Source organism: Homo sapiens, chromosome 5 (genome assembly GCF_000001405.40).
Source record: "Homo sapiens chromosome 5, GRCh38.p14 Primary Assembly".
NCBI lineage: Eukaryota > Metazoa > Chordata > Mammalia > Primates > Hominidae > Homo > Homo sapiens.
In genome coordinates, this window is record NC_000005.10 from 36,225,326 (window position 1) to 36,246,571 (window position 21,246).

General features: G+C 39.4%; 1 protein-coding gene and 1 long non-coding RNA gene across 9 annotated transcripts in view, besides 3 other annotated features; one reads left to right on the forward strand and one right to left on the reverse strand.

Moving 5' to 3' along the window:
* The window catches only part of NADK2 (NAD kinase 2, mitochondrial), a 49,691-nt gene extending 32,737 nt beyond the window's left edge, over nt 1–16,954 (reverse strand). For 2 of the 8 annotated variants that reach the window (NM_153013.5, NM_001287341.2), the window contains exons 1-4: nt 16,771–16,954; nt 2,152–2,240; nt 1,150–1,238; nt 217–298 (exon numbers count right to left, since the gene is read on the reverse strand). In NM_153013.5, the coding sequence (NP_694558.1) occupies nt 217–287 (71 nt within the window). In that variant the 5' untranslated portion in view covers nt 288–298; nt 1,150–1,238; nt 2,152–2,240; nt 16,771–16,954. Of the gene's footprint in view, nt 1–216; nt 299–1,149; nt 1,239–2,151; nt 2,241–15,510; nt 15,531–16,033; nt 16,067–16,173; nt 16,601–16,637; nt 16,695–16,770 lie in introns of those variants that run through there. The other 6 variants (XM_047416706.1, XM_024454360.2, NM_001085411.3 and 3 more) reach the window with 4 other exon arrangements.
* Nucleotides 15,505–15,574: an enhancer, noted in NCBI's record as "active region_22477". NCBI's record gives its function as "activates an Ori minimal core promoter by ATAC-STARR-seq in GM12878 lymphoblastoid cells {active_cell/tissue: GM12878}" and the evidence as "EXISTENCE:reporter gene assay evidence [ECO:0000049][PMID:35858748]".
* Nucleotides 15,665–16,684: a silencer, noted in NCBI's record as "silent region_15972". NCBI's record gives its function as "represses an Ori minimal core promoter by ATAC-STARR-seq in GM12878 lymphoblastoid cells {active_cell/tissue: GM12878}" and the evidence as "EXISTENCE:reporter gene assay evidence [ECO:0000049][PMID:35858748]".
* The window catches only part of LOC124900962 (uncharacterized), a 109,210-nt gene continuing 104,540 nt past the window's right edge, over nt 16,577–21,246 (forward strand). The window contains exon 1 of the long non-coding RNA XR_007058733.1: nt 16,577–16,703. This is a non-coding gene — a long non-coding RNA (uncharacterized LOC124900962). The remainder of the gene's footprint in view (nt 16,704–21,246) is intronic.
* Nucleotides 16,925–17,124: an enhancer, noted in NCBI's record as "active region_22478". NCBI's record gives its function as "activates an Ori minimal core promoter by ATAC-STARR-seq in GM12878 lymphoblastoid cells {active_cell/tissue: GM12878}" and the evidence as "EXISTENCE:reporter gene assay evidence [ECO:0000049][PMID:35858748]".

The following is a 21,246-nucleotide window of genomic DNA, read 5'->3' on the forward strand; positions in this document are numbered from 1 at the left end:
TTCCACTTAGACACCATACACCTAGTAAAATGTCTGTAGCAACAGAGCCCAAGAATGTGAACATGGTCAAGAAAATAAAAAATAGCTTCCAAATTTTAAGACAGACCATAAAAAGATACTATGCAATCAAAGCAGAAATGCATGTATGTATAACCTAAAAAAAAACTTAAAAAGCACACCACACAAATCAAACAAAATGTATACGTTCTTTCTTACCGTTCTGGATCAGTGTTTACCCCTATAACTGGTTTAAGTCTGTCCAAGACTTTACTCGCTGCCAGCAGCATTGTGCCATCACCTAAGGAACATAAGACAAAATACAAGACATAACCAAATTTCTGTTATAAATCTAGTTTTTGGCCATTTTGAAAATCAGTAGTTTTAACAATCATACCCCACCCTGCTAACCGCTATAGCCTATCCCACTCCCTTTCTACCTATTATACCTTTGGATTCTCTCTCCCACTCTAATCCAGGATTTCATAAGTGGCAAGATTACATTTAGGCAGAATAATTCTTTGTTGTGGGGACACTGTAGAATGTTTTAGAGGTAGTCCCTTTACATACTAGTAGCACCCCACAGTTAGTAACCACTAATCTAATCCAAAAATTTCTATTAGCCAATCTTCTTTCCTTCTCCCATAACACCAGTCCAAATTCACAAATTATTTTAATAAAAACATATCCAATGTGTCCAACTTCAAATTTTTCTCTTCAACACCTGCTGTCAACTTAAAGCTTTAGAAACAGTAGCCATTAACTTAATGATAAAGTTCAGAAAAAAGTAAGTACAAGTATATTGGGACCAAAGAGGAATAGAATTTACCTCATCTCATTAAACTCTTTATCAACTTCATTTTTTTCTTAAAACTGCCATAATTATACCAAAATACAATAACTGATCCTTTGAATCATATTTGAAGTTAAATGCATACCTTAAATATGCACAAGGAACCTCATAGTAACGTCATTCATTTAAAATGTAGCCTTGTATAAAACAGAAGTTTTAAACTTGATCGTAACAATCCAAAAATGTGTTTAATGGTAAGACTCTGAAGGCTTCAATATAGCTAGACCCTAGGGTATCTGGAAATAATGTGTATTAAACATTTGTATATGCCAACATCTTTACTTCTGTCAAATTATTACCTCCTGCAGCTATGACAGCATCTGCCCATCGAACAGTCTCTTCATCATATTCTCTCCTCTTTACTAGACGAACCTCAATTCCCTCATTCCTAGGATAAAAAAGGAAAGGTTATATGAAATTTCCACTAATAATATATATAACAGGGGTATGTTTTCTGAGAGGCAGATGATTACAATAGAGATGTAAAATAAATTTGTGTCTTATAAACAAATTTACATGGAGCTTTATAACATTATCTTTGTTTTCATTTAATTACAACAGCCAATTAACTATGATAATTAAGGAAGCATATGAATAAATCGAAAGTTATATCCCAAATCTCCATGTGCTTTAAAAGCTTTTATAACCACTAGTGAATAGCAATATTGGTTAGAATTTCATTTTCTCTACTCCTTCTAATGCTTAAATTCATAATACAAAAATGGTCCAGAAGACTAACACCTTAGAGTGACAATTTTTTAAACTATAAAACTGAATGGCCATTATTTTAAATCCAACAAATATTCATTGAGTACCAGACACCGGAATAGTGACTAAATACTTTGTAATTCGCATGTTTCTCACACTGACTCTCTTGTACACATATAATTGTGTTTAGTTCTGAATTAACTGAAGTTTCTGTAATTTTTGGACAGAAGTTTCTATAATTTTCAAACACTCAAAAATATTATTACAATGAACACTCATATAATCCACTAGTCTGTTTTAATAAATAAAATATTATACAGTTGAAGCCAGCTGTGTAACTGAATTAACTCTACAGAAGATGCATTTCTCTGGAAGACCAAATAATTGAAAACACCTGTGACATTTTCAGAGAACAATAAATTTTTCTTTAAAGATGCTATAAAATCAGATCCATTAACCTTGATATAATTTTCTGAAAATGATTTTATAATAACAATCATCACTAAAAATCTAAGAATGGGCTGCTAGTACAAAATAAAAACTGGAAGTCCTGAATATAAAATCCAACCCAAGACCCAATCCCATAGACTTACCGTAAACTATCTATAATATGTTCTACATTTTTGGTGTGAATATGATGTCGTTCAAGAAGTCCACTGTAACTAGAGCCTTTCAATGCAAGCTATATCAAAACAAAAGAAACGTTGTTTTACTAATATATATTACACATGATGTTCTAATATTATGATTTTTAAAAGCCCCGTATAAAATATAATTTTTTGAAAATATATTTTAATAACTACCTGTGAAACCTACAAGTACAAATTGAACTAGAAAGCCTGATATCAGAAAATTATAATTTGGCTTTAATACCAAATACAGCATTATGTTTTCTGAATCATATAGTCACCAGGATCTCAAAATCTTATGTTTTACAGCTTAAGTTTTTTATTTTTTTTATGACTTTTTTTTTTTTTTTGAGATGGAGTCTCGCTCTGTTGCCCAGGCTGGAGTGCAGTGGTGTGATCTCGGCTCACTGCAAGCTCCGCCTCCCTGGTTCATGCCATTCTCCTGCCTCAGCCTTGATGACTTTTTAACACACTGCATATGGCTACTTGATGACCAAAGATAAACTAATACTTGTAGAGGCGGTTAGATGACCTTTGTTCCACTTGGATTTGCTTCTCTCTTGTTCTCAGATTTATAAACTCTATTTGGAATTTACCTTACGAAATCTAAACAAAGGGCTGACTAGCTCCCTTAGAAAGGATAACTTATATATACATATATCCTTCAAAAATTATTTTTCCTAGTTGGAGTAACATTTTATAACTATCTTACCATTAAAATTTTTTTAACTATGTTTCTTATGAATAATCCATAAAGTAAAATGTAGAGAAAAAAGTTCAGAAATATCCTTAGTGAACACCCATTTAATCACCAAGTAGGAAATTTGTCCACTAGAGTGAATGCTAGAATTCAAAAGTGTGTTATTTGTACTTTCTTTGCTCCTCCGAATTCCTTTATACCTTTCCTTTCCCTTTTTCTTTTCTTTTTTTTGTTCTTGAGATGCTGTCTTGCTATGTTGCTCAGGCTGGTCTTGGACTCCTAGGCTCTAATGATTCTCCTGCCTCCGTTTACCAAGTAGATGAGATTATAGGCACGTGTCACTGTGCCCAGCTTATACCTTTCCTCTTTATGTAACAAAATCAGTCTTTCAAATACCTGTCTAGACATGATTTTTTTTTTTTTTGAGACGGGGTCTGGCTCTGTTGCCCAGGCCGGGGTGTGGTAGTGTGATCTCAGCTTACTGCAACCTCTGCCTCCCGGACTCAAGCCGCCCTCCCACCTCAGCCTCCCAGGCAGCTGGGACTACAAGTGCACACCACCACAACCAGCTAATTTATTTTATTTTTTTTTTTGGTAGAAATGGGGTTTTACCATGTTGCCCAGGCTAGTCTCGAACTCCTGGGCTTAAGCAATCCACACACCTTGCTTCCAAAAAAGCTGGGGTTACAGGTGTGAGCCATCACACCCAGCCTAATATACAATCTCAAATATTTTGTTTTAAATCATTACTTACTGAACTATAAAGTAAAACTAATTTTTAGACAGCATTTTAATACATATTTTACTTTTTAAAGGTTATAAAGAAAACACTAACAATATGGAAAATGCATATTTAAAGAAAATTGAAATCAAATATAATCTTATGGCTCAAAATCATTAGTGTTAATATTTTGATACCTACCTTCCCCATCTTTTGCCTACGAATACTGGGTTAAGAGTTTTTAAATAGTTTTGTCCTTGCTTTGTAATTTTCGTTATGTTCTCACAAAAGAGAAGCTGAGGAAGCATTTGGCTATTGTGAAAATTAATTAATAGATGTTAACTTACCAAGATATACTATAATAGATTAGACAGCCTGTGCCAAAATTTAATGCCTAGCCAAAAGCCTCATTAAACTTAGACTAAGCAACCAATGTCAATAATTTTTTAAAGGAAAGCACTGACTATGATAATAACTAGAAAAATCCTTCATTTAATTTAATCAACAAATCAACATGAGTCAGTAAGGTTTGAAAAACTATTTTAGAGTAGAATTTCTTAATATGGACCAACAGAGCATGAATATTCAGATTACCACTATCATTACCCAGCTACAGATTGACTAAAACGGCACTAACCACCTCTCAGTGAGTATGGACCACTACCCTCTCCCTTGGCAATCTCTAGTTTCACGGCTTTAAAAGAGATCTATATGCTGATGCTGATGATTCCCAACTGCTATCTCCCAACCCGGCCTATCTTTAGAGCCTCAAATACATTTATTCAACTGCTTATTTGACATCTTTCTTTGGCTATCTAACAGGCACCTCAAATTTAGAGGGCTAGATATTGAACATGCTAGATACTGAATACTTGAAATGCTATTATTATTCATTCAGTATCTAGCATGTTCAATATCTAGCCCTTGATTTTCTGGCCCAAGAATTCCCCACCTATGGCTTAAGCCAACAGTCTAGAGTCACAGCCGATGCCTCCTTTTTTGCTTATTTCCACATCCAATTACTAAATCTTATATTTGATCCAAGCACTTTTCTCTTCTTCCCCTCTACCACTCATGATCTCACACGTGAACCACTGCACAAGCCTCTGACAGGGGTTCCCTACTTCCACTCTTGGCACCCTATAGATTATTCCGAACACAGAAACCAGAGAGACCACAGCATGTCTCTTCCTCAGCTTAATGCCCTTCTACAAATGGCACTTTCTTCCTACCAACTCTCAGGCTTATGCCACCTGACTTCTGCTCCTTTCTCCTACCTCATTTTTCCTCCCCATTCCCAACACTCTAATCTCTTTGGTCTATTTTCACCAAGCTCTTCCTTTGTACTTGCTGGAATGCTTTCCATCCCTCCACCTAACTCTGACTCTTTTTAACCCTGGGGTGCCAGGACTGCTGAAACAGCTGCTGCTAGTGCTGCCCTTGCAGCTGCAACAGCCACCACTGCCAATTACTCCATCCCAACACCTGTTAATTCCCTTTTTTGCATTTACCACACCTAAAATTTCCTGGTATTTTTAAAAAATCCCTTTGAATCTCCTTACTAGAATATAAGTGCTGGGAGAACAGTGATCTTACTTATCTTGTTTGCCATTGTTCCTCAGGGCCTAAGTACTAGCTAAGTATTTGTTGAATGAACTCATGCATACATTTTCCAGAAAAGCAAGAATAGTGCAGAAGCAGATGCTACAGAAGATAACCCAGAAAGTGACAACAGTGTGCAAACCAACCCTTAGAACTGAGGAGAGTTAGATTAGTTACTATAGTATATTATTTTGTTATAATTATCTCTTACAATTCCACTTTAGGCGTGAACACTTTACACAGCTAGAAGTTAAGCTCTAAAAAAAATTCATCTAAATATTTGACTGCCTACTACTGTGTTCATTTAACTACTAGTTGAACTTAATCAAATGTATTAAACAAGGCACTGCAAACTGCCAAAGACAATGATAACTAATTCAAATGCACAATAAGCCTATTACAACAGTTATATCTAATTTACCACTTCTACTTTAAATAAAACTTCAAGGGTAGCTGGCCCTCATACTTCAATTCCCTATCCAGGATTTTTACCTTATGTTCCAAATTTTGGTTTGGACAATATGGAACATGTACCCAGGAAAAAAGCACATAAACCTTACTGTGTAAGCCCTGTAAATGCTAGTCTGGTAGTTCAGAAACTTTTATGCTTACTTCCTGGCTCTCGGCAAGCCCCAGGAAAATAAGATACATGGCGTTGACTGTTAGGGAACTTTGGCTTGAGATGGCGAAAGGGTCTGAATTTGTGGGAGAAAAAGTTTTGGAGAACTAACAAAAAACTTCAAGTTTTCTATGATTGCTAACAATAATAAAATTCCTAAAATTCCAAATCTAAATACAAAGTTCAGGCAGCATCAGAATACTTAACATTGAAGCAGAAATGTCAGTTCATAAATTCTTATTCCCACTCAAATTTCTTCTTGTGAACTAACTTTCTAATAAGTCATCCTCAACATTCATTTAGAGAATGTAAGTTCTTATTTTCTTTAAAGGCCTCGCTGGTTGGGCTATTAAGCTTTATTAACATGAACTGGCTAAATGAGACAGATAAAAAATAAGAAAATCACTTAATAAACAGCATCAATTAGAAAGGCTTAAATCACTATTCAACTGGCTTTAATTCTTCCCTTACATTCAATCGCCACAGCCAGTGAGTACTGAAGTCCAATAATTATATTTGTTTAAAAGGCATATGCAAAAGCTGGTAAGAATTTCTTGCTAAACCTTTGAAAATAACATGACTTCAAATATCTTAAAACACTCCTTTAATCAGACAAAAATAAGAACACATGATTTCTTAGACAATGTCTTACCATTAAAAGGTTAGAGAAATTACTGAAATTTAGAACACATTCCCAATTCTCTGCAATGTTACACAACATTATTAGTAACAGTCTTTAATATTTTCCCCAAAAACCTGTTAATTCTTCTCTCCATTAAAATAAATAAATAAATAAATAAAGATTCACCAGGACACTTGGAAAAAGCAGGTGACTCCATGAGATCTACAGACAGACAGACACATTTCAATATAAGCAAGAGTTTCTCCTACAGAATCTCCGAAAGCCAAGATCATGTCTCCCCACACAGCTCTGATATTAAAATAAAGCACAACATGTAAGGAAAAAAGCAAGATTTTGAATGGATAGATTTAGCACACTTTAAGATCCAGATGTGATAGTTATGCTATTACCTAAATGGTTTATAACACCTTTATTAAATTATCACAGATGGTTTTACTTATCTAAAACTAAATTTATTGCAATTACAAATTTTTAAGACTTGTTTTACCAGTCAGTTGAGTATTGCTATTTTGTACTCTATGTAATTTCTATGATAGCTTAATAAGGGAAGGAGTTAAGTTTTTTTAAATTTAACACATAATAAATGCACAAACTTTTGAGACAATGACAGTTCAGTATGTCAATCCACTAGGCATAATTTAGGCACCCTTAAAAGCATACACATTTAACTAAATGGTACTCTAAGTGTTACTCAAAATTGCCTTAAAAAGGTTAACAGCACCTAATCAACACCTAGATACTCAACCATTCACCTAACATGATCAGACCTAGTGCACTGAACCCTAAAGACTTCTTCACATATATTTGGTATTTATCTTAGATCATCTCTATTCCACTTACTTTCTCCCAGGCTCTCACCTTTATTTTCCCCAACGTTCTCTATTTCTGCATTCCTCTGTTAATTCTGTTGACCTCCTCCCTTGATATTGCTTGAGGTTCCAACTTTGGTTTTCTTATCTGCTCTCACTTCATTTTCTCTGAGTTATCGCCCCACTCCAGGAAACTCACCTACCAAGTATATCCCAGTAACCTTGAAATCTATACTGTTAGTCCACGTCTCTTGATCTACAGCCTTGAATTTTCAAATGCTACCTTTACATCCATCCACAAATAGTTCAGGTACCTCTCTCCAAAAATATCAAAACTTGATTATATACTCCCCCTCAAATCTGCTCTTCTGAGTCCAATTTATCAGTTAACAATAGCATCATTTACATGAGCAACTTAATAAATCCGTGTCACCTTTAATTCTTCCTCACACTCAATGTCCACAGCCAGTCAGTAGTGAAGTCAAATAATTACATCTGTGAAGTGTTTTGACAATCTATGTACTTTAAGTTCATGCTGCCACTGCTTGAGTTCTGGACAACACCAACTCTTATCTGGTCTAATGCAAAAGCTTGCCTCCAGATTTTCTAAACTAGTTCCTTATTCAAAAGTCTTTGACTAATTCCCATCCCCTAACTAACCTTAACACCACCACATTTTGGGCGTCGTATGAAAACAAAAGCCAGTTTTCATACAACGTCCAAAATGCTGAAATCTCAGAAAAATTGACCCTCATCACCCAATTCCTATGGAGAAAGACAGGCTGAGCAAGGGTTGTGTTCTACCATAAAGAGTCTGAAAACCACTAGGAGATAAAGCTAACTCCTTGGCAAGAGACTTACCACCTTTATAAGGTCCACTCTACCTGTTTGGCCTCAATATACTATGATTTTCAAATTGTCTTAAAGTGCATTATAAGCTGGTCACAATTTAACGATCACAGCCAGCATTATCATTAACTAGAAAATAAAACATACTAGGCTAAATTCTTCCCTGTTATCTTTTATTTAAAATATATTTTTAATTCTTCCCTGTTATCTTTTATTTAAAGATGTTTTTATAAAACATACAAGGCTAAATTCTTCCCTGTTATCTTTTATTTCAAATTTATGTACTGAGTCACAATGTAAGAGATCTCTGATTATGGATCACAGTCAGTTTTGAGTTCTTTTGGTTGGCTACAAGATGAACTTCACGCAAGTCTTGCTGTTCTCTCCTTCACACATAAAAATTCTTCTGTATTTTTCAATATTTAATTCAAACATCCTGAAATTAAAAGATACCATTTCACCTTCATATTAGCAAAAATGTTAAAGTCTACTAAGTGCTGTTCAGGAACCCACTAAATGCTTATGGAAAAAATTATTTGTACTTCTAATTACAATATTTTTTTAATAATGGAAAAACTGTGACTAACCTAATTATCCAAACAATGAAATATTGCACAGCAGTTAAAATGTATTAATGGGCCAGGCGCGGTGGCTCACGCCTGTAATCCCAGCACTTTGGGAGGCCGAGACGGGCGGATCACGAGGTCAGGAGATCGAGACCATCCTGGCTAACACGGTGAAACCCCGTCTCTACTAAAAATACAAAAATTAGCCGGGCATGGTGGCGCGCGCCTGTAGTCCCAGCTACACGGGAGGCTGAGGCAGGAGAATGGCGTGAACCCGGGAGGCGGAGCTTGCAGTGAGTCGAGATCGCGCCACTGCACTCCAGCCTGGGCGACAGAGCGAAACTCCGTCTCAAAAAAAAAAAAAAAAAAAAAAAATGAATTAACACGTATCTACACAGATAAGTTTTGAAACCAATAGTAAATAAGAGAAGCAAATTTCTAAAGAATAGGCACATATTCTAAAGAACAGAATTATCATTGACTAACTTTTAAAAGACACACATGATGTTACACTTGTTTATGGATACTGTCATATTAATAAATGTAAAAGCATATGTATGAGAACAATACACTTAACGTCAAGGCAGTGGTTACCTCTGGTGAGGTAGGGAGTGGGAAAAGTTGGATGCATAAGGCTTTAGTTGTAATATTTCCATTTTTAAAATTCTGAAGCACATATGGCAGAATATTAATAGCTGTTAAGTCTAGGTAGCTGAATACACAGGTGTCTTGTTACTTTCTGAAACATTTCTATATGTTTGAAATATCTCATAACTGAAAATCTAAACTTTAAAAAGATCACTGAAAATCTACTCAAAAGTTGGGAGTGGGGGAGTCTTTTCTCCCCTTCATCCCTACCCTTCCCAAATTGTTCTCTCCCTTCCCTGTACTCCCATGGATCACTTATAAATATTTATAATATAATGTAATAGATGTTTCCCATGTATTTGGAAACTGTTTACTAATCTTTGATTCTCCAGGATCCAGCAGGATGCCTAGCAGTTAGCAGGGGCTCAAAAAACGGTTTTGTGAACAAATATTTAAAAGTGACACTTTAAACAAATTAACTAACAGACTTCCTGGATATTGCCAATAGTGACACTGTAGCAAGTACTTTTAATGCAGATCATAATTTTTGTAATTATTTTCTCTATTACTTTGAAATGATAACTTCTTTAAAATTTTGGTTAAAAAAACACTACGCAAGCAGAGTTAAAAATCAACATATTTTTAGTTCACTTAAGTGATCTATCTTAGTAAAGGAATCTACTTTGGAGTTAACCAAATCAATGCTATTTCAGGTACATAATTTAAATATATGTAACATTTACATAATGATCATTATTGTGGCTAAACTGGAATTAGATTATGCAGCTTTAAGTTAAATTATGTAAATTGTAAATTATTTCACCTTTCTAAAAATTATGTGAGAAAGGAAAAGCAGGTATTACTATAAATATTTCAAAGCCAAAGAGACTGATTCAGAGAGGTTAGGTTACTTGCTCAAGATTACAAAGACATCAGATTGTGCTTTCAGGATCAAAACTCTGATCTTCTGCTGTTAAAGCAGGATTTGTCTACTCTGTTATATCCATGCAGCCACATACTACTAACATTCCTACATTAGCCATATATCTTACTCCTGCTTGAGAACTGTGAATACTCATTAGGCCACTAAGCCTCAATTGTGATGACTAAGTTACATAACTCAACAACTATTCTGTTCTTTATCAGGACCTAATTCTACCACCTTTCATTTAGGAAGAGGAGAGCCAATTGGATGAACCCTCCTTCAATGCAAATGTTTTACAAAGATTGGTCTATTTTCCTGCATAATCCATATCTAGTGGTTTATTATGAAGAAAATATATATATATATATATATAAAAAATAAATTTTCCTAAAGCGTGAAATAACTGGCACACTTGCTGATATTTTGAAATTATATATTTCCGTTGTACATTACAAAGTTCACTGATAGTGACAAATAAAGTCAATTTACACTTTACTAGTTGAGAAGAGATTAATGTGCATCAAACACAACTATTAGAAGTTAATTTATATAATTAAAAATATAGTAAAATGATAACAGTGAAAAATTTTGTTATTTGCAATCTCATGGCTGGTCACATATTTGTAGTTTTTAAAACCTCCCCCTAGATAATGCTTATATACAGTGAAGGCTGAACATCAGGGCTGTGAAGCATGTTGGTCAATGATTCTCTAATGGTGACACTTCAGCTACTGTGATATTTAATTCTTCTACATCTTTGTGAGTTTCCTATTTAACTGCAAGTATTTATAGAAAGGGAGTATACCTTAAACCTCTGTTTTCCAAGTTGTGTTCCACAGAATTTAAAACATTTTCTGCTCCCTCCCACCAAAAAGAATCCCATAGTCAAATAAAAATCATCTTTTGCTTGGGCTCATGTTTTTCAAAGACATTTAACCCGAAACCTCTATCAAAGAATCCAAAGCTTAAGGCTTAAACTCTGACTTAAGCTTTCAGCAGCTAACATCTGGAAAGACAGACAGCTGGTAATAAGGCCCTGGACTAGAAGGAAGCTGGTCCCCAGGCTCAAGGAGAAAAGACCTAAAAATGATCTTAACAGAACATCAGAAACATTTTACTACTTTTTTTAGTGGAAGTATGGGGGTGGAGAGGACGATAAAGGAGATGCAATTCTTGCCCTCAAAGAGTTTACAGTTTAGAAAAGAAAATAATCACAGATAAGTATTATGAAGTGAAGAATGCCTAACACAATCTTGGTAGCCAGAGAAAGGCAGAGGCACAGCAAGGTTACCAAGGATGGCATCCTGAGAGAGTAATGTCTGAGCTTAACCTCAAAAAAAAAAAAAAAAAAAACAGGAATTGGATAGAGGAAGAAGAGCATTCAAATCAAAGGAGGCTACAAAAGTAGACACATAGACACTGAGAGATGCAAATTCAACCACCCTGAAATACCATCTTTCACCCACCAGGTTGGCAAAGACCCAACAATTTAATGAACTATGTATGGAAAAATAAGTCCCCTTATACAGGGCTGGTGAAAGTAAAAATCTGTATAATCTCTAAGGGAAGCAATTTGGCCAAATCTGTTAAAACTTTATATGCACAAGGCTTTTGACTCAACAATTTCAACTTTAGGTATTTGTCTTAGAGCTTGATTTACATGCATATAAACACAAATGTTATTCATTTCAGAATGTGTTTAATAGCAGAAGATAAATTAGGACACAAAATAAAGTAACATACATACTATTTTTAAAAAGAATGGGAATGTTCTTTATGACAATCTCCACAAATGCTGTTAGGCTAAAAAAAAAGGCACATAATAGCTTAAATAGTATATTATCATTGAATAAAAAGAGATGAGGCAAAGAAAAAGAATATTTCACTGTGCTGATTTGTAGGTATAGGTTGCTTCTGGAAGAAAACACAAGAAATTGATAACAGTTACTTCCAGGGACAAAACTGAATGACAAATGACAAGTAACAGAAAGACTTCTTTGTATAATATTTTGTATCTTTTATATTTTGAATCATTTTATGTGCTACTGATCCATAAATTAAACTAAATCAGTACAACATCTAATGGAAATTAACACAGTTTGAAATTGCTAGAATATGAAATTTAAGACAAGAAGTGATCAGAAGTGAAGCTCAAGAGATAGCCAGTTCATGAAGGGACTTATCTGCCATTCTAAAGATCATGAACTTGAGCCCACAACTGTGTTTCTCAGTTTAACTGGGGACCACATGCCAACCAGGGATAAAACACATCCCTGGAATTCAGCCGGAGTCATTAATTTCAGGTGTGTGCTTCATAAAACCAAAGTCTGGGAATTCTCCACAAACTGAGTCAGAGTCTTGCGGGGCTAAGGTTCAGGTGTCTGCATTTTAACAAGTACTCTTGGTGACTAAAGGGTACAGGGAGCTTCTGTGGAGTTCCAAGCAAAAGAGAGAAAGGGCCAGATGTTCACTTTAGATAGACACTCTGGTAACTGTGTCTAGAAGATTTGAGAGGAGCAAGGATTCAGTTAGAAAGCTCTGGCAGTACTCCAAATCATGCTCTTTAATTTGATTAACAATCATATTGTATGTAATATACTTATTGCATACAATGTAGCAAAAGTATACCACCTGACAAAAGTATACCATGGTACGCTTATTGCATACCCTGTGGCAAAAGTATTATCTGCCCAAGTGCTACAACCTAAGCCACAAAATCTTCAGAAAACAAAAGGGAAATCCAAGGTGCTACACCTTCCAAGTCATCTAGTTTAATCCAATAACACGGCAGACTGTTAAATGAAATTATTCTATCCCATTATGAATTTTAAAAAACAAAACTAAAAATAGGAACCAGTAAAAGGGTTGCCGAGTTGTGAGACCTGGAATGATGGAGAGGAGGGCAGAAACTGCTGACTTCTTATTTGTTCTACATTAAAATTTTTTTTCCTTATTCAGTTCCCCATCCCTGGTGACAGGTGAAAAAGAGCTTTAAATAAAACCTTTTTTTGACCAATGAGGTATGTTTCTGGTGTCAAAATCCTTTCCAAGTCAGTTTTGTTTCATCTAGAGTTCTAATTTGTGTCAAGGACCCTGTTAATAGCAATTGCACATTTGCCAACAGCTACATCTCTTAATGATGCAAGTAAATTGTAATAATAGTTTTACTGGCCTTTGAAAGGTCATGAGACAGTAGAGGTAAAATGTTTGACCAGAAATCTGATATCACAAAATAAGTCACTGGTCAATCAATGGGGAAAAAGACAAGATTTTAAAATAAAGCAATGTAACCAATATGAAACGGTAAATAAAAGTCAAAACTTTGACTAGCTTGAAGGTTGTAAACCTATTCTGTGCATGCCTTATCAACTAAAAAATATTTCCTGTAATTGTTTACATTTCTACAAAGTTAGAAAATCATCAGCCTTCAGGGTATAAAATTATACTGGCACTCTATCCTTCATCTTCCATTTGCATTTTAACAAATAGCCTAAAACAGACCTGTTTTACATCAAAAAACCACCACCACGACAACAAAAGAGAATGCTTTGACAAAAAACCAAGTTACCATGACACTATAGACACAGCAGCCATGGTGAGACTCAAGCACTTGGCCACTTTCTTTTATATCCATCCAATTCACATGATTCACATAACTTAGTATTTTCTACCCCAGCAATATAACAAATAATACTTATCATCTTATCACTCCTATTACAGAATCCCATTTTAGGACAGCTTCACACAGCCCAGTATTCTTTGGCCTGTTAATAATCTCTCATCTGGTCTACAACTAATGCTATTGCATTCTGAGTATGGGCCTTTATATAAACTATAACACAAATTCAAATCAGTAAGGAACTTATCCAATAAAACTGTAATGACAACACCACCAACAAAAACTATTCCACTGCCTGGCAATTACAAAACTGTGTATTCTACAGCCCACGAGTTTTACTTCAAAGCTGGCTTATCCCAAACAGCATTACCTAGCAATAGACAAATATTTACCTATTAGAGATTTCTCCACTCAGAACGGGTACACTTAGGTAGTTTGACTTTTTAAGACTTATTGATTTTCCCTACATTTTAAAAGTTTTTTTATTAAGTGGTAATCTAGTTCAGAGGTCCAAGAGTTAATCCTAACTGAGATGCCACCCATTTTCTTGAGGCCTTGAAAACGTTATCCACAGTTTCAAAATGCCAGTACTGTAAAGGGCCTTGGAGGCTATCTGGTACTACCTCTGCAATTCACATACTGAATTAGGTGAAGCACTTTGAAAACTGACACTACTATACAAAAAGTATCATTTCCACCTATGAGGCCCAGAGAAGAACACACATAGGAAGTTAACCACACAGAACCAGGGCCTAGAACTGAGCTCTTCACTCTTAATCCCACACTCTGAACATGCCAAGTGAGCTATTTTAAATTGTTGTGGGAAGCTTCGATAAAACTGTATGCACATATTTATGCATACATGGCATTTGACAAATCCTACAAGCTAGACTTTGCAAAATTAGTACAACCCAAAGGGCACACCACTTTCCCCAAATAGTAACACTGTGCTTTCTTAGAACATTACTAGTCCCTATCTCACCTCTAGTTTCACTCCCTAATACAAACTCAACTACTCTAACCTCCTGTTCAAACCCTTTATTCTTTAAATGATGCAAGTGTATTCTATAAACAGTCATTTTCAAACACTTAGGAAAAAGAAAACAAATCTACACATCTAGACTCCCATCAGGTGAATGCAGGAGCCCTCTTCAGTAAACCCAACAAAGAAGCAGGATGTTTAATGTTGACAACAGATTCAGCACTTAAGCAAAGATGATTTACAATTTCATTTTGATGCCTCTACAAAATAACTTCGCTAAGATCACACGATACCAGAAGTTTCCAACAGGTTGTCTAGTCTTGCACAGAATTAAACTAAATCAGTTATGTGCAATTAATTCCAAAACCTTTTGGTGCACAGTGCCAACAATTAAGAGATTTCCAATATATTTTTCTGGACATACTGCTCATGGTAGCACCGGGCACTCTCCTTTTCCTAAAGTTGGTGGATGGTGGTATGGGATCAGAAACTGTTTTTAAAGTTGGTGGGGGGGGATGACAACAGGAAGATTCAAACTCTGGTTTTTCCCTTGGATTTGTATCTTTGCAGATATATTAATAAACATATCAAATATGGTATATTGTGGAGATACTGCTGCACAAGAGTCGCAGGCTTTTTTATTTCACACACTACCCAGTATACCAGCCCCTTGTCCTGACATTTCTCCTTAATAACGTACATATACAAGTCAAATTTTCTCCCTTTTCCTTCTTAGCACCAAAGACCTGTGCTTTTAAAACAAGCTCGTAGTGTCCAACGACCACGTTCCAGCAAGGAAAAGGCTCACGCTGAAGGACTTTCCGGAGTGCCCTAGGCCTCGCAGTCCTGCAGAGTAAAAGGGGGTGTGTCCGCGGTTGTTTCGGCCCTTTTCCCCCGGCAGCCCTCAGCGGCGCCCTGGGCCCCCTTTCTCGCGGCGGCCAGGGGAGCTGTTCGCAGGGCGTCCAGACCTCAGGCCACTGGCTCACTTTCTTGGAGTGGGTCCCAACCAGGGAACGAGGGCGGGGGCGGCGAGGGCACCAACGAATCCTCAAACCCCTCACTCTGAGGCCACTCGGCAGCCCCTCTTCGCCCTCCCCGCGGCGCCCCTGCCTCCTAAGTCCCTGCATGAACCACTGTCCCTCTCTCTCCCCCTCTCCCCGGCCCTGCCTCTCCCTCGCACACACGCCCAAAGGCAAAGGAGGCCCAGGGAGAAGCCAGAGGACCTGGGGGCCGCGAGAGAGGCAGGACCGGCATCTGCGGTGCCCTGGGAAGAGTCGTCCCGAGAGGTCCCCCCGAGGGGGCGCAGCCGCCACCAGAGCCCCGGCCGAGCCCGGGAGCGAAGCGGGGCCGAGCCAGGACCCACCAGCTGCTTCAGGTCCTCCTCCGAGAGCTCCGCGTAACGGTACCGCTGCTGCTCGAACTCGTACCGGGTGGTTTTGGCCACCACCACCACCCGGGAGGGGCGGAAGCCGCCGTCCGCGCGGCTGCCACAGCCCGCCAGCTCGCGCGGCTGCCCCTGCCCCAGGTGCCGCCGGCCGCCACCGTCACCGCCCAGCCGGGGCCGCGCGGCGGGGCCTCCCGCACCCGGTCCCCGCAGCGCCGCCGCCCGGCCGCCCGCCACGCGACAACAGCTGCCCAGCAAGAAGCCTCGGTAGCAAGTCATCGTGGGCCGGGCCGCGGCCGCGGGCTTGGGCTCGGGCCCCTTGCCTCAGCTCCCTACCGCCGGGAGTGCGCGCCGTCCGCGCCGCCCGGGCCTCTAACTTCGCGCCGGACGGGCAGAGGTTAAGTGCCAGGACGTGCGTGGCCCACGCGGCTAGGGGGACGTACCCAGGCGTTGACGAAGGCGGGGAAAGCGTGGCGATTGGGAAACGGGAGACCCCACGCGGGAGAAAGGTGGGCGGGGAAGAAATGGAGGCCCCAGCTAGTGGGTTTTGTTTGTTTGTTTATTCGTTTCACTCACGCCTGCATAATGGCTGCTTCGCCGCCCGGGGGCGACCTCCCCGCACCACACGCTTCCCCGAGGTCGCTCTTCTCCCGCCCCCAGGCTAACTCTATCGGCCAATCAGAGCCCGCGGCGGCTCCGGATCCGAGGGGCCGCGCCATTGGCTGCGGCCTGAGAAAGAGGTAGAATTCTGTTAGGCGATTGCGTCGCCCTGAGGAATCCAGCTGGATCCGGTCTGAGGCGGCGCGGGGCCAGCGGGTGGGGTTTTGAGCGGCTGGCGGGAAGGCAGGTTCCTGGCATATGCTCGCTTGGGTTCTGTTCTGCAGGCCGACCACGTGCCCATTGGTTTATTTGACCAGGGTCGGTGTGATAGCTGGTGTGTCTGGGGCCGGGCTGGGGGCTGAGGAGGCGGACCCGGCTCCTGCTGCACCGTGTGCGTGGCTTGGCACGAAATCCTCTCGGCGTGGGACCCAGTGCCCGCCCCGCTGCCCCCTGCCCCCCCGAAGAGCCCTACCTATAGGACAAAGTCCAAATGAATTAGTTCTTTGAAAGCTTTTAACTGGAAAGGAGTGAGTTAAAGCAATGTTTGATGACTATTGATCTGGCTTTGGAATCTTGGGTAGCTTGGGAGGCAAGAAGAGGAGGAAGGGATGCTGTTGGGATAATGACCCGTGGAGTGATCAGGACCTGGGCTGGGGTGTGACGAGAACAGAAGGAAACGTCCCATTGTAAGGGGAGAACCACATGGCAGTGCACATCCTGCTGTTCAATTCCGCAGCTCCTTAGATCCCCTTCCCCTGGCACTGTGTTTGCTCCTTTGTAGTCCTGGCGCTACGTCGCTTCTGGACTTTGGGCAGGTTACCTCATCTTTCTGGGCCTCAGATTCCTCATCTGTAAAAAGGGGGTTAGGGTGACCCCAAGGTTCTACCAAGTCCAAATCGATTCAGTGAATCTATGACTCTCCTCACGGGCCCACCAGCACCAGCGTTCATTCGTGGGTTCCCGCGGTGTGCCTGCTGTGTGCCAGGTAGTGTATTGGACTGGGAGCATACACAATGAAGCCCGATAGGTGTTTACTTGGTAAAGTTCTACCACTGACCCGTTCTCACCAAGAACTTTCCCTCACAGCAGCTGCTAATAGTGACGTGTAGTGTAACAACCTTAATAACCTGAGCTTCTAGAGGTAACATCTATAACTATCCTCAGACTCCTTTGTAGTCTTACTATTTTAAACTTCATTAGCATTAGGAAGGAAAAAAAAAAGGGAGAAATCACAGATGACGCTTAGGTTTGAGGCCAGGGTGAACAGGGGAATGTTAATTGATCCATTCGATAGAGAAAAAAAAATGCGTAGGGAGAAACTGTTTGGGATCAAAGTCTGAGTTTTGTTGCTCATATTTGAAATCTCGGACCTCATTTCTTCCCATTTCACAGATAAAAACCCAGATTTTTGACTCTCATTTCAGCTGCAAACATATACATTGACATCTCAGTTGGAATAGCCCTTTGTCCATAGTTATTTTGCGTCTCATCTTCCACCTCCTCAAAAATAGTGTTTCTGAAGGCATCCTCTCACAGGTATCTTGAATTTTCCCTCCCAAATGAGTTTGCCTCTTCAGTATTTAAATATGCTCATGTCTATGACATCTTTAAAATTTTTCTAAAAAAACAAAACAACCTCTAAGCCTTTGTTTTTACATATTGCCTGCCTTACCTTTACAGCTGATTCTCGAAAGAGTAGTCTGTTCATCATTGCCACATCCCTGCCTCCTAGTCATTCCTCAACCTGTTGTACACTAGCTTCTCCCCACTACTTTGCTAATTACTGCTGTTTCCAAGGTGACCAAAAGATCTTGTTGGAACTCAAAAGACTTTTTTCAGTTCTTTAATTGATTGATCTTTCCAAAGAATTTGAAATGGTTATCATTTCTTCTTGAAATCTTTTACTGTCTCCCAACATACCAGTCCCTAACAGTGTTTCTCCCATCTCTATGTCCCTTTTTGACTTCTTCCTAAACCCATCTCCAAGATGTCTTCTGTCCTCGTCTCCTTGTCTCTTCTTCTCCGTCTTTTTTCCTTCTCTCTCTCTCTCTCTGTCACACACACACGCTCCTGAGTTCATTCAGTGTTGTGTAATGGAAGGATCTTGGTTCAAATCTCAGTTTTATTGTTTATTAGCTTTGTGAAACTTGAACTGGTTGTTTAACCTTCCTGAGACTACTTCTGCATTTATAAAATATAATTGCTACCTTGTAAAATTGTGAATATATGCACAGATGCTTAGCACTGTGCCCATTACACAGTAGACACTTGGCAAATATTAGCCCCTTTCATGACCTCAGCTATTACTGGCATCTTTAGCCCAGATCTTTCTCTTGAATTTCCAATCCTTATCTAGTTTCCTTTTAGATAATGTCTCTTAAATCTTACACATGTAACACACATTCGTGGAGATTAAATTAAATTTGAGTGTCACTGTAGGCCAGGCATCCTGCTAGGTGCTACAGATGAAATGATAAAAAGCTTCCATGCCCTTGAGGAGCCTAAAGTCTATGCAGTGATAGAGTTATACACAGAATGCTGAGAAATTTGGAGGAGCAAGTCTCAAGTCAACCTAACAAGAGTTAGAGAAGGCTTTTTGGGAATGTGAAGAGCTAAGCCTTAAGTAATGAATTCAATATTAGCCATTATCAGCAAGAATGAGAAGGAAATTCCACAGAAGAAACACCATGAACAAATGCATAGAAGCAATGAACTAGCAATTTTGAAATTTTAGAGAATTTAGAGAGAGGCAGGCAACATGGGGAAGTGAGGCTAGAGAGGTAGACAAGGGTAAAGACAATGGAAAATGTTAAATCCATGCTTAGGAACCTGCCTTTTATCCTGCATATATTAGGAGGCAACCAAAAGGAGAAAATGACATGATTAGCTTTGCAAAAATTGTGAATTTTTTTTTTTTTGAGATGGAGTTTCGCTCTGTCGTCCATACTGGAGTGCAGTGGTGCAATCTCAGCTCACTGCAACCTCCGCCTCCCGAGTTCAAGGGATTCTCCTGCCTCAGCCTCCAGAGTAGCTGGGACTACAGGTGCGTGCCACCAGGCCTGGCTAATTTTTTGTATTTTTAGTAGAGACAGGGTTTCACCATCTTAGCCAGAATGGTCTCGATCTCCTGACCTCATGATCCACCCACCTCGGCCTCTCAAAGTGCTGGGATTACAGGTGTGAGCCACTGTGCCCAGGCGTGAGCAGGAATTTTTTAGAAGAAACACAAACAGTGAATAAATACTTGAAAAGATAACCTTATTGGAAATTAGAGAAATACAAATAATGTCATTGTGAAATAATATTTTATATCCACTAGATTGGTAGAAATTAAGAAATCTTGGTAACACTCTGTTAGAAAACTTATCCATATCAAGTCTTGATTAGGCTAAACATTAGCTAATCATTTCAATAATTCTTCCTTCCAGTGCCATAGTTTACAAATATCTTTTTTTTTTTTTTTTCCTGAGACAGGGTCTTACTCTATCCCCTAGGCTGGAGTGCAGTGGCACTGCACCGCATGGCTCACACAGCTGCAACCTCCCAGGCTCAGGCAATCCTCCTACCTCAGCCTCCCAGGTAGCTGGGATTACAGATGCGTGTCACCATGCCCTGCTAATTTTTTTTTTTTTTTGAGATGGAGTCTCGCTCTGTCACCCTGGCTGGAGTGCAGTGGCACCATCTCGACTTACTGCAACCTCCGCCTCCCGGTTTAAGCAATTCTCGCCTCAGCCTCTCGAGTAGCTGGGATTACAGGTGCATGCCACAACGCCTGGCTAATTTTTGTATATTTAGTAGAGACGGGGTTTCACCATCCTGGCCAGGCTGGTCCTGAGAACTCCTGACCTCATGATCCGCCTGCCTCGGCCTCCCAAAGTGCTGGGATTACAGGCGTGAGCCACCACGCCCAGCCACCCTGCTAATTTTTAGAAATTTTTGTAGAAATGGGGTGTTGTGCAATGTTCCCCGGGCTGGTCCTGAACTCCTGGGCTCAGGCAATCCGCCGACCTCACCCTCCCAAACAAAACTGCTGGCATTCATGGATTTTTGAGTTTTAAACTCAGACTCCATCTATGGTGAGGCTGGTGTGCTTTTCTAGTAAATGAGTCTAGCCAACCATGTGATAGCCATATCTCAAGCAAGCTTAACTGTTCTCAACATTTTATGGGGAAAATTATATATCACTGTGGTATTCACAACTTGAAGATTTACAGAGGTTTTAAAATATATCCTTCCCAACCCCCAGAACCCTTCCCACCCCCACTTCATGTTCATTCTGACTCTATGAAAGACATATATACCTCTTTTTATGACATTCAAATACTCTAAGACCTGTATAGCAGGGGTCCACCACCCCCGAGCTGTGGACCAGTATCGGTCCCTGGCCTATTAGGAACCGGGCCACACAGCAGGAGAGGAGCGGCAGGCAAGGGGGTGAAGCTTCATCTGTAT